Genomic DNA, 16,667 nt, shown 5'->3' with positions numbered 1-16,667 from the left:
CATACCAGGCCACTTTCCTAACTGTTCTTGAGTTATAATTCTGGCCATAGGTACTTCCGAAATTTCTCTTCAAAGCAATGTTTAGACATCCTCTGAAATTATTATTACTTAGTACCTGGCTTCTTCTGATGAGAGGATATTCCTATTTTCTCGGAATTTTATAAAACAAAAACATTGAACTGGAACAAAAGGTATAAAAAGTGATAGTGAAAAATTAATACATTTAAATATATTCATGTAGTTTTGTTTTTATTTTCAATATTGAAGTTGAAAATAGATAAGACTGAGCATGAACAATTTTAGAGACCAAATACAATTTCAGCATGCTTTGTATTCTTCCAATTTGCCCCCAACTCCACTATTTCTTATTGAACAGTCAAGTATTCTATTAGTAGAAAAAATATGCATCTCTGGAGTACTGCAGTTATGTTTTCATAGGATCAAAGAATCACAGGAAAGTAAAGATGAAAGTAATTTTAGAGGTCACTGAATCTAATCTTACAACTGGCAGGAAACCACATCTCCCTGCTTCTGAGAGGTAGCAGAAAACCTGTGCTTAAGGGATCTCAATCATGAAGTGAAAGGAATATGGTTTTTTCATTAGACAGACAGGGATAAAAGCCCTGATCTGCTACTCAATCAAATTTTGAAACCATTTTGAGCTTATACAAAAACTAATACCAACCAGTACGACTGCTTGCAGTATATGAAAAAAAATATCTAAAAAGACGTCGTATTGCATGATAGGACATGATACATAGGCGATCTCTCCCTACTTCACACACTTGCGCTCCTTTCCAAGGCAGCCTACGCCTTACACTACATAGCATTTGATTATTTGAAATCAACAACCACTTAATCATAAATTTTCCTCTTCTCCAGTGCAATGGATTTTTCTTATTCTCAATGTCTTCAGTCTTTCCTGATCTGCCAGGTTTCCCAAACCCCACTATCATTACCTTTGTTACCATGCTCTGGTATCCTCTAGTTTACAGGAACCCTTCCCTTAGAATACCATGTCAAGAAAAGTACACATGTGGGTAGAACTCACAACTCCCATGAGTGGGCATTTTGCTTAATGTTGCCCAAGATTGCTCTTTCTTTTGTAGCAAACTTGTCCATAATCATTAGAAACAGTCTATGATGTTCAAAGCAGTGACACTGGCTTATGTCTTTTGAGTAATTTCCTGATTTAGGGGCTTTTCCTGTGATTAACATAATATATTCTAAATTATATTCTGAAATACAGTTAGAAGAGAAGACAGTTTAAATGGGGCTGGGGATCCTATGACCACATAGGCTATGCTTACATTTAGGCCAATGGGAATTATCTCACTCATGATATTCCCTTATTAAAATTTTCACAACATTTAAATAGTTGCAGTTTTTGAAAAGTCCTGAAACTCGACTTTTAATATTCTAATTATAAATGTAATCTTTGGAAAGTTTAGGTAAAATAACAAATTATCTAGAGTATTTCGAGTTATTTAACTTCCTGGACATTGATCTAAACTGAAAATGAAAATCCTTCTCCATTTCCTATCAGACTATGATATAAGCAAACTGTGAATTAGGGAAACTGTGTTCTCAAGATTCTTTACTATTTGTTACTATGGAAACTTAAGATTTTTAAATTTATTTCCTCATCTAGAAAAGGTGTACGTTCAACTTGAATACTTTTTAAAGCCATTTTTACATCTGAGAATCTATGATCCTGTGATTTCTTGTGCCACACTCACAGCTCTTATTGATACCAGATTCATTATATCCATTTTTACACAGATCTGCAGGATTTAAATCTGATACAATTCAACAGTCTAGGGCCTGAAACGTGGTACTCTATTAATATTGATCCATCAGATGAATGTTGAGTCAAATAAAGCTCTGCAAGATATTGGCTCTAAAATCCTGGCTCGTAATTTCAGGATGGTATACCCATAGCTTCAAACTTGAAGCATGTAATTAAATGTGAAATGTTCTCATTTTATCATGGGAGGAAATCAGGTTGGTGGTCAGAAGGAAAGATTTTTCAATTCAGTTTTAATTGGTAATTTTCCTTTGGGAAGCTTGAATAGCTATAGTCAAAGGAATAAGATATCAAATAGCAAACCTATTAATGAATAACTACCCAGCAGGAGAAGATAGGAAGACTGACTTTTATTTTTAGAAGTCAGAGTGATTTGAGAGAGTATCTGTGATGGGTGTGACTTGTGATCTAGGATACAGCATAGATACTTGCAGAAAAGAAAGTGAAATAAGCAAATGTCATCAAATCATGCACGTTGGATTATATTTACGGATATATCTCCTCATGTAGGCAGTGATGTGTTTAAAAGTGAGACATGTCTTTTAACTTGTTTCTATTTTAAGTGACTGCTTTGACGGGTCTTAAATAAATAAATAAAAAAGATCATTTTCTATCCTGCAGATTTAACAACTGCCCTTAAGTGTCTGATCTTGTCACATTTTCAGTGGAAACAACATTGTGATTTGCTTCCACGGTGATGGCCAAAACTAATGACATTGGAATGCCAGAGTACCTTGCAAGCTACTGATTAATTATTTGTCATAATCTCCTAGTGAGGAAGTTACTAATGTTATTACTTAAAACATCCCTTGCATTTTGCACTTGCAGGGCACTTACAGATTCATTGGTGGCCATGAAGAAATGACCATTTGTACTATTCTTAGTAGGAAGCAGTCCCAAAGTCACCTGTGTCTACTCTGATACAGTCATGGGGCTCAAGCTTTAGGATCTGAAGCAGCCTCCTAGGCCATGTTGCTTTAAATTCCAGCTGAATATAAGATGATTACATGTGAGACATCTTTAATATGTTATTCTGATTTCCAGAGATGGAAGTTAACAACAAATTAATTCCGTTGTAAAACTGCCCCTCTACAACAAAAACAAAAACCTTTTAATTTAGTGATTTTTCACTTGGAGGACATATACAACATGCAGACTGGAAAATTTTAAGTATTCCTTGGCAGTTGTAGAAAATAAAGCCATCTGGCATAAATTATTCCCCTATATTTGGAATAAGGACCATTCTAAGATATTTTCAAATTACTTTTCAGACTTTTGAATGCTCTACTCCTCAGCCAGGAGGAATATCTGTAGGGTGGCTCCACTGAGAAAGTGTATTTCTCTACTATTATGTTGATAAATTGTGGCCAATATGTTAAGCTAAATTTATAATCAGCATATAATATTTATACTATGATGATTGATTGATTGGTTGACAGATGATTCTATACTTTTTTCCTAACAGGAGACATTGAAAAGGAATCAAGATTTCAATAAAGTTATTAAGATTTTCTGCAGATAACCTTCACCTTAAAACTAGACAGATTAGGAGGTAGTGCTAGGATAATATTAACGATAATAGCAACCACAATACACAGGAAAAGAAAACCAAATACCCCACATTTTCAATTATAAGTGGGAGCTAAACATTTAGCACCCACGGACATAAACATGGGAACAATAGACACTGCACACTATTAGAGGGGAGAGGGAAGGAGGGGAGGGTGGTTGAAAATCTACCTTTTGGGTACTAAGCTCACTGTCCATGTACAATATACCCAAATAGCAAACCTACTCATGTATGCCCCTGTATCTAAAATGAAAGTTGAAAGATTTTAAAAAAAAGAACTATATCTTGCCTCCTCCTGCCCCTCTCCCTACCTACCCAACACATGCCTGCATGCATGTTCTATGACTGAGCCCCCTCTACAGCTGGCTGTGGGTGGAATGAACTTCTTTGAAAAGCATTTTCTCCTCATTGCCAGAATTATTCAAGCATGAGATAGACCAGTTATTTTCAACTATTCTTTGCAACCAGACCACAGCATGATTGATTTGGTATAATTCAAATTGCTGTGACATAATTATGACTATTGTTTACCCAAATATAGTCTGGGGTGGTACATAAATACTTTCTTCTGCAGAGACATAAACAATTGCTGCTGGTAAGATCAAGCTGCATGTCCTGGCCCTCTGCTCCTCCACCCACCTCCTGGTACATCCACTTTTGAACACCAGTGGGCTAGGTTAGTGGCTTGCAACTTGGTTTGATTATACATCTCTACCAGTTAAAAAGGTTCTAGGTGAATAGTATCTTTATCTAGTTAAAAAGATTCTAGAGAAATACATTTTAAAAGGTGCCAACGTAGGTGCACAAAATATCTCGGCTCACAGCATCTGTCCTATCCAACCCACCTCTGGGACTTTGCAAGCCAGCTCTTTTTGTGCACCTACGTTGGGACGATCTCATTCATCCTAACCTCACTTTCCAAGAAGGGAAATGGAGGCTTGAAGAGACAAATCAAATCTCTCAAGCAGGCAGAACTAAGAGGCCAGGTAGAATCTGAAGGCAGACTTTTGGCCTCCAGATCCCTCGTATTTAGCCAAGTGGGGATGCTGGCCTGCCTCCTCGTGCTGATGTGAGCCTCAGACAAATCCTCCTGTGCCAGGCTTGATGCCAAGTGCTTCTAAGAGGTAGGAAGATGAGCGAGACAGGGAGACACAGACACAGACCTGGAGGGCTTCCTGGAAGCAGTGGTACTTGATGGATGCAAGAAGTGAGGAGGGCAAACTAGTCAGAGATGGTATATGTGTGTGTGTGTGTTCCAGGTGATAGAATTGGTACACACAGGGATGAGGGTGCCCCAGCCAGGAGGGTTTAACTTCATCAGCAGGCCTAGAAAAGCCATGGAAACTTCCAGCAGGAAACTGATGCTACTGGAGCCATACTTTAGAAAGGACAGGAGAAGTTAGTTATGAGTAACAAGGGTAAGAATGAGCATGACTGGAGTGGCTAGGAGGAGGTGCCTGGTGCTCTGAGCAGAGGACATCATAAAACAAATATATGGTTTCCTGACCATATATGGTCTGGATACAAGGGAAGGGGTCCGGTGTGACTCTTGATGTGTATGAAGGTAGACTAGCAGGGATAGAGGAAGGGTGGCAGTGGTGAGCCTGGCTGTGCAGGCTGTGATCAGTCAGGCTGTGGGGAACTGAGGGCTGGAAGGGAGTTGGGCATTGTTTATGGGGGTTGCGTGAGTAATAGAATTCCTGATGGAGACAGGAGATGTGGAAAGAGAGAGGTAAGAGGGGATCGCGGGGGCAGAGCAAAGTATGAAATACAAAGAGCCAGGGCCCAGCCTCTCTGCTATGCCAGCAGTGACATTCGGGCTGGGTGATTGTGGCAGGGACTGTCCTATGCATTGCAGGATGTTGAGCAACATCCCTGGGCCCCACCTGCTAAGATGCCAGTAGCAGTACCCCCACTCCTATAGTTATGACAACCAACAATCCTTCCAGATATTGCCCAATGTCCCTGGGTAACATCACTTGGTTGTAAACTACTGCCTTAAAGATAAATGATAAGAAGGTTAGATAGATAGGTTATAGTTGATATATTTATATGTACATATAGAGAGAGTCTCATGCTAAAGCAGGGTCTCTCAGTCTCAGCACTGTCAATATTCGGAGCTGAATGTTTACCATGGACTGTACAGTAACCAAACTATTGACTTTATTCCCTGAAATGTTAGCTGATTGGCCTGATAAGTAGAGTATCAGTACTCAATAAGAATGAAGTAGAGGCCAGGCACAGTGGCTCATGCCTGTAATCCCAGCACTATGGGAGGCTAAAGCAGGAGGATTGCTTGAGCCTAGGAGTTCGAGAAAAGCCTGGGCAACATGGTGAAACCCCATCTCTATTAAAAAAACACAAAAATTAGCTGCGCATGTTGGTGCACACTTACAGTCCCAGCTACTTGGGAGGCTGAGATGGGAGGCTCACTTGAGCTCGAGAGATAGAAGCTGCAGTAGGCCATGATCACGCCACTGTACTCCAACCTGGGTGACAGAGAACCTGTCTCAAAAAAAAAAAAAAAAAATGAAATGGAGAACTTACTTAGGAGATAAAAAGAAGCTGAAGGCATGCTCTTTCTTGAAAATCTATCAGACCTGGAGGGAAAACCATGTATGAAAGTGACCCAAAGGAAGTTGAGAAATGCACAGAATGACCTCTAGAGGTTCCTTTCAGCACTAATGATCAGTGAAGGAGACTTACAGACCCTGATGAACTGACCCCAACCAGGCATTGGCTTGCTGCTTTTTTCCCCTACATTGGCCAGTGCTGTCACAACACTCACTACAGCAACTCCTTCCAACCCTGCCTTGACCTCAGCCTCTGCTGCTGGAAATGACCACTGGCCCATGGTCCAGAGGGTGTGGCTGGCACAGTGGAGGGGGAATGTGCCTGACTTGTATATAAAGGCAGCACAGTGGCTGGGCAAGACACACATTGTGGACAGAACCAAGTTTATGGACCAGCCTTCCCTGTGAAATTTGACTTTTCCCTCTTTGCTGAATTGGTCAGGTTAACAATGGTTACCCCTGGATTACAGGAAGGGCATGTGCTAAAAGCCTCCTTGGAGACCCACATGGCCCTCAGATGAGCAATTGTTCAGATTCCTTTTCTTTTTCTTTTCCATGGGAATAAGCTTTCCTCTCTCCAAAGTACATGTTTTAGGCTTTTTTATTTTCTTGCTACTCCCAAGGACCTGGTGATATTTTTCTTTACCATGCATTAAACAGAATCTGTGAGTCTTTTCTGGAAAAAAAAAAGGCAGGAGGGAACATACTAATTAAAAAGTTTCTGGGTACACTACCAAGATGTACCTATTTATTGATATACAAATGGCATAAGTTATTGAATGCTTGCTATAGGCATTCTCTAAGAACTTTGTAAGAATTGACTTACATGAGCTACTTCATAGCAGTTCGATGATATACATGTTGTTATTATCACCACTTTACAGATAAGGAAATAGAGACAGACATACTGAATGACATGCTCAACGCCACTCCACTAGCAAGTGGCAGAACCAAGCTTGAAACAGCTGGTCTGACTCCGGAGTCTGTGCTCTGATCTATATCACAGCTATTTCTATATGTGCTATTCTACTAATATATATTTTTTGAAATACATGAAAAAGTAATTTTAATAGAATGAGATACATATTGGCAATATTGAAGTTCTCATACTTTTGTCCTCTGCTCCAATGAGCCATCTAGAACCACCTCAGATCTATGTGCCCTCCTTCCAAGATCATCTTGGGGGGTTCTTATAGGGGAAATTCAAACTGCTACCCTCAGGGGTCTTAGTGTCCTTGTCTCTATTTGGATTCTGTAATGGAAATGGGGTCCATAACTGTAGAGTCTCTCCTCCAGTTTGGTCTGCCATCCACTAGTTCAGGTCACTTCCCTCCCTACCTCTCTGCTGCCCCTGGTAGCCTGGGCTTTCCCACTGAGACCCAGCCAGGCAGAAAACACCCTCTCAGTATTCCTTCATGCCCCTTTGTCCTCCAGCCTAAACTTTCCAGTCCCCTTATATCAGGAAGTTACTAGGTAATGCACTAGCTCAATGAAAAAATTAATTTGAACATCCACATCTTTCTTTCCCTTTCTATCTTCAATCTGTGATAACGTTACCTTCTTGTGAGAACTTCTCTAACTTTCCTATTTAAAATTCTCTCTGTCTCTGTCTCACACACATATGAATCTTTTCCTGCCTTACTTTTCTTCATGGTGCTTTTATCAGATGTTATTATTTTTCTATTCCTGCTCGTCCAACTCAAAAATAAACATTGTTGAAATCTCTATCTGATGTATCCAACCTTGTATTCCCAGTGCCTACACAGCAGCAATTGGTTCATAGTAGACACTAAAAACTTTGGGTTGAAGAAATGAATAAACTCCTTCTCTGGGATTAACAATTAGGGATTTGAAGCCAATAGAAGAAATAATATAATGTAAGGGGAGCTTTTCTTAGTCACTTTAAAAAATATCAATGCCTAAAATACTGTACATTTTCTACCTGGTGTGCTGGAAAAAGTTGAATAGTAACCAAGTTACTCATACAATTGACAATAGGAATAAATGCAAATCAAAAATAAACCCCCTTTTGCTCAGTAAACCATTTGTTTTCCAGGCAGTCTTTTACTTTGTCACTGATTGCATAGTCCTTAGGTTCTACCAAACCATGAGGATATAACAGAGCACAGCACAACATGGTTGATTTGGTGTTTTACACTAATTCATATTGTATGAAATAATTATGATATTTATGTAAATGCTGACACTGGTGTGGTCAATGCCTGGTCAAAAATTTCTGTATAGGACTTGTTTGGGGATTGCGAAGGACTAGAAATCAGCCATGGCTAAGGAGCTTCGTTAGAAGTTTCCTTTGAAAAGTTCCACTTTTCATAAGACTGAGCCACAATCAGTTTTTTGCCTGAAAACATAGAAGAGCTAATAGAGAATATCCCACCCCCTTAACCACTGAATGTGATTGAGATTCTTAATACTCTGAATACTGATGAACTAGAGCATAATTATTTTATTTTCAATTTATATCAATATGGTATATTTCAGACTGGCCATAATTGGAGCTGCTTTTAAGCAGAATTATAAACCAACCCCCTACTTTTTTTTATTTACACAGAAAGTAAACAATCTAGAAATGAAGTCTTTTATTTTCTGTGGTATCACTCTGTAAATATGGGTCTCTTTTCAGATGAGATGTCCATAGGAGATAGATTTGGCCCTATCTAAAGAAGATGAGCAGGAGGTGATATAATTTATGAGCTGAACTAACAGAAGGGTGCTGAGTTGGATTTTATTAAACTAATATTATGGCTTGCAAGGATGGCATGTCAGATGTCTCACTCATTTTAAAGATTGTGCCATTTCAATAAATCATTTTTATAACTTTAAATACATTATATAGGTGCAATGCCAGTAGAGAGTATGTTTAAATATGCCAGACACATTGGTTTGCTTCACTACATCCTGTGTTGTTCATTTCATTTTCTAAAGATGTAGTTATCAGATTATTTTCATGAGCTAATCCATGTTTTAGTTGTATTCATAAAGTCTTGATTTGGTGCTGTTATGCTTATTTGATTCTTCCTTGCACATATGTAATCAACCCATGTGAATATCATTACAGTGTTTCTCTCTTCCTTCTTGCACAAAGAGCTAAAGGAATCTCCTGTTTTAATTCCTTTGCCCATGTAGTACAATGAGAAAACAATACACAAGATGCATTTGGGGAAATTTACCATAAGATTTCATCTGAAAGAGTTGTGTTATGTAAGATAATGCATTGTATTTCAGAATATTTAAGGCTGAATTTTTTTTACTGTGTGAACTCTATACTATTTTCTTTTCCCCCCCAACTTCCCCTCATTTAACAGCAGACAAACCCAGGGAGCACTGAATGAATCCGATGATCCTGAAACAGGCTGTCTAACTGATAACAAGCCAACTTCTCGACACTTCTATCCTGTCGCCTTGCTGCTTGTCAGCTCACACCTGCTAGTTGTGTGGCTTATTTTAAGTCTGGCGTTACTCTTAGCCAAATACCAATAAGTTTTATGTTGTATTCCTTTTTCTTTTCTACAAATGACAATGAACTTTAAATTATGGGGACAATGCTGTAATATTTTTACATTTTCAAATTCACAGAATTTAAAAAATGTTAAATTGTGTTTAGTTTGTTTTTCCTAAAATCTAAAAAACAAAAAGTACTATGCATTAGGTGGATTATTTTGCTCTTTTGTTCATGGAAAGGTGTTTCCCACTGTTAACTAGCTCAAGAAGAATTTTTAAATTACTGTCTTTGGAATAAGACAAAGAACAGAATCCTGAAAGCTTGAAGTTCTGAACCTCCTGTCCTCATCCCACTAAATTTATTAAAGAAATTAAGACTGAAATTTGCACAAACACTGAAACCCTGAGACAAGTTCTAGAGATGTGGGAGGTTGCAGACTTTATTTCCACTGTGCTAATATCATAGATGCCATCTGCTGATAGAAATTTTTTTTAACCTGTTTTACTTCTTTGCTGCAATTAACTCTTTTCTGTCAAGTAACTTTATGGAGAGAATGGCTATTTATGTTTTGTAATTAAATTACCTGTTTGTATCTCTTGTTTGGGTTGATTTGGCTTTCAGAGGACTTTTCTATTCTTTTTAACAAGGTCTTGTTTGTGTCTTGATGTACCATTCCCAGCACTTGTGACTTTTGTACTGTCCGTGGACAAGCACTCTTCCTTTATAAAGCTGAGACTTGGCCCAGGCTGTTCAGAAAGCCATTTTCTCTCTTCCTTGCACAGCTAAAATAATAAAATAGAGATGAAATTTTTCTTTAAAAATCTATAGGGCCAGACTTAATAAATTAAATGCCTTATTTCTAGAACCTGCATCCTTAGGGCTACATATAGATTTTAATGTGTTTTAAAGAGACTGAGAAATTAATTTGTGGAAATGTTATAAAAAGGCAGATATATTTATGAAACTAAAGTGGAGCTGTATTGTGGAGCAAATTATATTTAAAGAGTTTATTAAATTTTAAATGTTAAGAGTAAAGAGACTTAAGTCATCTCTTTCAGAGGGCAATAATGGTATTGGGCCTGGCCTAGGATTTAATTTTGTAAGATGTATCATCACTTGTGGAAAAAAAAAATGTAGAGTTGAATCTTTGTTATTTTTACTTGGATGGTTGCTGCAACTCTGCATTAAACAAATAAAGCATATTTATTTATTCTGTGTTTCATGAAGTTGTACTTTTTCCCCTTTCACCAGAGAAGGATGCCGCATAGAGAATGTACTGAAGAATATCAAATGCAGAAAGTATGCTTTCAACATGCTACAGCTGATGGCTTTCCCCAAGTACTACAGACCTCCAGAGGGGACTTATGGAAAAGCTGACACCTAAGTTTACCAACATGTTAATAAACAGGAACACAAATACATTTCAGTTGGATAATCTTCACCTTGGTCTTTTTTGTTTGTTTTTATTGTCATGAATTTGTGGTGGGGGAGATGATCACAGATGTTTCCCAAAATCTAGGAACTACTTCAATTCATCATCAGCATATTGCTCTGAAAGAAATCCATTTTAAAAAATCTTACATGATTCAGTACTGTCATTTCTAGTTCTAAGCTTCTATGTGTTGAGCCTAGCTGATTGAGATTGGTTCACAAAGTGTAAATTTCATTCATGAGTATTTAAATGTTTCTGAGGAAACATGGATCATTTCAATAGGACTAGGGGTGATTCACAGAGCACCACTCTCCAACCAAATGGAAGAGAGGAGAGGGGGAAAAGGAACATATTTTTTTTGTGATACAACTTAATAGCCTATGAGAACACAGTCAACCTGAGAATCAATGTAAGGGATTTAAAAAAAATGTGTAGCCACTCAATTAGGTAGAGTTAACTCATGATCTGGAATACTGAGGCAGTTTGCAGGTATGTTCCACAATGATCTCTATCATCCAGTCAAGGTGTGACTCCTCCCTTGCAACAGGCATATGCATGGAGTGAGTAAAGTGGTCAACAGACCTTTCAAAACCATGGCATCTTTTCAGAACTCTGACTTGGGTTGTGTGATCTAGCTGTGAATGTAGCAATATAGAACGTTTAATAGAATGATAAGCAAAACACTGCAATGATCTAAAATTACAAATAAAATAAAAATGAACAACATTTTGATACCCAAAATGAAAATTCCCATCAGCCTGAACTTTATGTTGTGAAGTTCATGAATGTCAGTGAGGTATCTCTGAGATGTTTCTTAGCAGTCATCCTGGTGTAAGCATGCAGTTATGGCATAGGTTTGTGTGTGTTAATAAGCCTTTAAAACATATGCAACCACAACAAATGATAAAGTAAAACAATTATTTTCTGTTGCCCTGAATATCAAACTTGCCCTTGCCCTTACTCAGCAAAATAACATTTATAAGTTTTCCAAAATCCCAAAGTAGAAGTTTCCTTAAAAAAATCATCTTGTATAATACCAGTATTCAAACATGGGTAAGGTTAATCACCCCCAATCACTCAGGAGATAGTTGCAGAATTTGAATTACAATCTCTTCTTACTTTCCTAGCCTGTGGCTTGTCACTTCTCCAAATTGCCATGCTAAATATGCATGAAAATTGAGGGAGAATGCTAGTTAAAAAGAAATTAGGATTTATCACTGGAATTGAAACTAAGAGTACAAAAGTCTGAACGAATGAAACTTTTCTCCAAATTTTACAAATTCTTGTTCCTTTCTCATTAGAAGAGCATGCTATCCAAAGCATAAATCTCCCTTGAAAATAACAGAGGCTTCTTAAGCCCTCTCTTAGCTATGATCAATGGATGATATTATGCTTCCCATAGCTAATGTGATAGCTCCTTGCCTAGGATTCCTGTTGAAATAAGGATTCTAGCCCCATGTTAAGTTTTTCAAATTACTACAAATTTTAGATAAGCATTTGGAGCTTTTTATACTAGAATTATCAATTTTTTATTTTAGCTAATTACCTGTGGGCATTATACTTGAGGCAGGTACCAAACTACTTACAGCCTTTTTAATGAAAATGTGCTGTGTACTTTGAATCCATTCATAGACAAAATTACCTTGATGTTCTCTTAACTCATTCTTTATTTTAGTGATTAAATACAACCTTTGAGTTGTTCAATATCATTTGAAAATGGTAGGATTTGTGGTTATTTTCATTACCCTATTAGATTTAAGATAGGCTGGGATGACAGAGGCCTCCTTGAATAGCTATGAAGCCTCATTCAGCATATCAAATGGTAGTCTGAGTTCTAAGAAACCTTAAGTAATTTATCATTCTGTAAATACTCTTATAAGCAATAATTTTTATTTGTATTTTTGAAAACAAACTACTTAAATATGGAAAAATATTAACTGGAAAGCCAGCAGTAGGGTTTTCTATTTTTAAAAGACATTTCAAGGATTTCCTGTAATCCCAGCACTTTGGGAGCCAAGGTGGATAGATCACCTGAGGTCAGGAATTGGAGATCAGCCTGGCCAACATGGTGAAACCCCATCTCTACTAAAGATACAAAAATTAGCTGGATGTGGTGGCACACACGTGTAATCCCAGCTACTTGGGAGGCTGAGGCAAGAGAATCGCTTGAACCCCGGAGGCGGAGGTTGCAGTGAGCTGAGATCATGCCATTGCACTCCAGCCTGGGTGAAAAGAGCGAAACTCCATCTTTAAATAAGTAAATAAATGAATAATATAGAAGTCTCAAATTATAGTGCTTACTGTAATACAAATGCTTATGAATTTTCATTCATTACCATAGTCATCTGCATTTCCTTATAGAAAGCCTGTACTGGTGCAAACTTCTAAAAGTGGATTTCATCAAGAAAATGTGTTTCATAGAGACAACAATATTGCTTTTTTCCTGAGAGGCAGTTCATTCTTAAACAACCACTTCACTATTTCTTAAGTTATTAAGGCTAAATCAAAGAGCAAATGTTAAAGTGTTTAAATCTCTCTTGAACAAACACAGCCACAGTCATGCTATTCTATCTATATTTTCACTTAAAAGATACACCAGCAGACCTATTTTAGGAGGTCATATTGAGCCAAAAAATGAACTGAGCAAATGACATTTCCAAACTCTTTTTTTGCTCAAAAATAATATGTTCCCCTTTGATATTAAATGCAGATATCAATTCTGGATTAGCTATTTACTGAGCCCTAGGAAAAACATATTTAAAGACAAGGAAACCATTCATTTACATCTCATATCATTGCTTTTTGCTTTTAAATATCGCCTTGAGGTTTGTCTACACTCTGCCAAAACAATCCCTGAACATAAGTTTGGTCAGCCTCATAATTCAGTGAGTCGAGCAACCATTTGTTCCAAGTGATAAATTGTACTAAATGACAAACTGCCCAATCAGGGCAGAGCTCCATGGACCCAGCCTCCAGCCCTTATTTTATAAGACTAACCCCTCTTCTGAAAAACTCTGAAGGCTTAAAAGCTAGCATTTGGATGGAGGATACTTCCTTTTTATCCTTCAGCTATGTATGGCACTTTACATAAAATAAGAGGTAAAAAAGGAGAGAAACTGATGTGTATAAAGTAATGCCTTTCTTCCCAAGCAAATCAAACCTCTCCCTATGTAAAAGTTGATAGTGTACCAAGAGACACAATACCACTGGTGGGCTGGAACTAGCTCGTTCTGATGCATAAAAGTTGATAATTAAAGTACCAGAAATTTTGTAAGCTAGTTGTTAAACATTACCATTATTAAATATGAAATTATAAAACACAGTGGAATACATTAAAAACCAATGTAATAATCAAAACATACCACTTCCCAATTATTTTACTACCTTATACTATTTATTAGTACTCTTGAGTCTATTTAGGTCTATTACATCTTTACAGTGAAAACAGGATACAATATTGTGCTACTGTGGGTCTCTTCCTGACTGCAGATTCAGTAACATGGTGTTCGTAGCTTGAAACTGTCCACAGTGGGAGTATTTAACACCATAGAAACTGGCTGGCAAATGCTACAAACTAGCAATTTTAATTCCTGGAAAGGCAATTGTTGAGCATTTACCAGCACACAATGAATGCCATATTCTTTTTTTTTTATTAGGAAATAAATTATTGGAGGCAGTATAAAATTATTTAAAAAGTATCAAATGCAATCCCTTATCTTCAGATGGCTATAATTTTGGTTATATAAATGTTTTGGTTTTTACCTTCTTTAAAGACTCCTATTAGGTTAAAAGTCATATTTGATGACTATATTTTATTCATAATTAAATTATTAAATCACCTTTTCTCCTGATAATGCTTTGCCAGAGAATTCTTAGCAATTCAACTGTAGTCTAAGCAATAACTCAGGGCTAAATTCAGGGAACTGTTAGCCCAATCAGATATCACTAAAAATGTACTTCACCATCTATTTTGGAGTTTATAATTTTGGCATTTGCTAAAAGTAGGAAAAACAGTAACATATTACTGTGCCCAGATTCTAATAAATATAGCTCAATTGAAACCAAAACTGTTACATTAAACAAATTACACTCTGGCACTATGCTAAATCACCACAGATGTTTTAGGTGTTTGATTTCCAAGCAGGATGGTATATCATTTGTTTGGTTCAATATATGAGGCACCATTTGTAGTCTTTTAGGAAATAAATTAGCTTTTATCACAGATTTAGGAAACTTGTCTAAAAAAACTGTGATCATCAGTTACAGAGGGAAGGAAACATATTGAACACAAGGCATCATAGTAGCTGGAGGCCTTAAAAATTATGCACGACCAAAAAGAATGATTTGGTGAGAGATGTGTAGCTGATTGACAATTTTAGTGTGAATTCATATTCATTTAACCCAGCAGCAATCTACATAAGCTATGCTTTTTCCCACCTGTATTTATGTTTCTTAGCTTATAAAGTCCCAATATATTATATCTTTTGTTGCTTTGGCAGTTTTAATTTAGAGCTCTGCGTTCACAGAGATGCCACCTATAGCAAAAACTATCTTTAAGAATTGGAAAATAAAATGAATGTTTTAGATAAAATATTGCAAGCCATTATGTGTAGAGTTAATGTATGGAAATTTGCATTTGTTTTTCTGAATCATGGTGTACATTAATCACTCATTGAATTCTATTTCTAAGCAAATAAGAGAATCAAACATTTCTAAAAGGAACATATGTCTTGCTATTAATAACAAGGAGACAGGAAAAATAGTAAGGTAATATAAGCAAAAAAAAAAATGTAATGAATTTAGCTATCCTAAATTGGAATTTTTACAGATTGCATGCATACTTAGAATTTTAAATTTTTAAAAGATTTACAATTGAGTATGGTACCCACAGAGAGTGAGTACCAAGGGAAGGAAGACCTAATACAAGTGATGTTGCCTGATAAATCACATCTTGCCAAAAAAAATATATTTTAGTAAATACAGTTCTTTAGGAAGAAAAATGTTGCCCTTTCACACTCACAGTGTAAATACATTCATAATATTCCTTCAATCATCTAAATTACCGCCAGGTCATGAAAGGACGCGATCAATGATGACCTATTGCACTCACAGGTAACATTGACTCAAATTTTGGCAATATTGCTATATTATCTAGATAATTCTTGTGATGTTTTTATGTCACTATCAACATTAAAAATATTTTGTTAAACAACTATGAAACTTTCAAAAGTTTGCATATAACTGTATGGGCACTCTCATTTCACTGCATACATACAATACTTTGTATACACATACTTCTCGTGTGGATATTTTATAATTTTATTTAATCTAACATTTAACTTTTAGGTTTTTGTGGTACTCATCTGAAAGGTTGGCATTTGTTTTCTTTTTATGTTATATATGTATTTTAGATGAATCAATAATGTGTATTCCTAGAAATTTTTTCTAGGCATAAATAGATCATTTTATGTTGGCATTTAAGAGATATCATTTTTGTTTTATTGTTCTGTGTAAACCATATTCATTGTACACTGTGTGTATATTTTTGTTTAAATAAATGATTTTTATTTTTTATGTTTCTGTCTTTTTCTCCCCATTATACATTGTTTCCATTTTCATCACTACAGAAATGTTTAAACCTTAATTAAAATATTAGAAATGTAGCATAAACAATATTCCAATTCCCAGTTAATTTTCTACTGGGCCGCAATTACAGTGAAAATTTTTCACTGATGCCAGTTTAATCTCATTTTCACCAGCGGAATTTACTTTTCAGGATGGCTATTCCATGGAAGCAAGATCAACCGCAGTTTGCCCGGGCATGG

The 16,667-nt window shown here is 36.5% G+C and overlaps 1 protein-coding gene across 59 annotated transcripts in view; it reads left to right on the top strand.

Moving 5' to 3' along the window:
- INPP4B (inositol polyphosphate-4-phosphatase type II B) overlaps nucleotides 1-16,416 on the top strand; it is an 823,376-nt gene extending 806,960 nt beyond the window's left edge. For 43 of the 59 annotated variants that reach the window (NR_169617.1, NR_169615.1, NR_169599.1 and 40 more), the window contains one exon: nucleotides 10,662-16,416. Coding sequence is in view for 46 of the 59 variants with exons in the window: in NM_003866.3 (NP_003857.2) it covers nucleotides 10,662-10,794 (133 nt within the window). In the remaining 13 variants the exon portion in view is untranslated. The other 16 variants (NM_001331040.1, XM_011532391.3, XM_024454274.2 and 13 more) reach the window with 3 other exon arrangements.
- The last annotated feature ends 251 nt before the right edge of the window (nucleotides 16,417-16,667 follow it).

This window comes from Homo sapiens, chromosome 4 (assembly GCF_000001405.40).
Source record: "Homo sapiens chromosome 4, GRCh38.p14 Primary Assembly".
Taxonomy (NCBI): Eukaryota; Metazoa; Chordata; class Mammalia; order Primates; family Hominidae; genus Homo; species Homo sapiens.
Note: the sequence above shows the minus strand (reverse complement) of the source record. Positions and strands in the feature narration are given on the sequence as shown.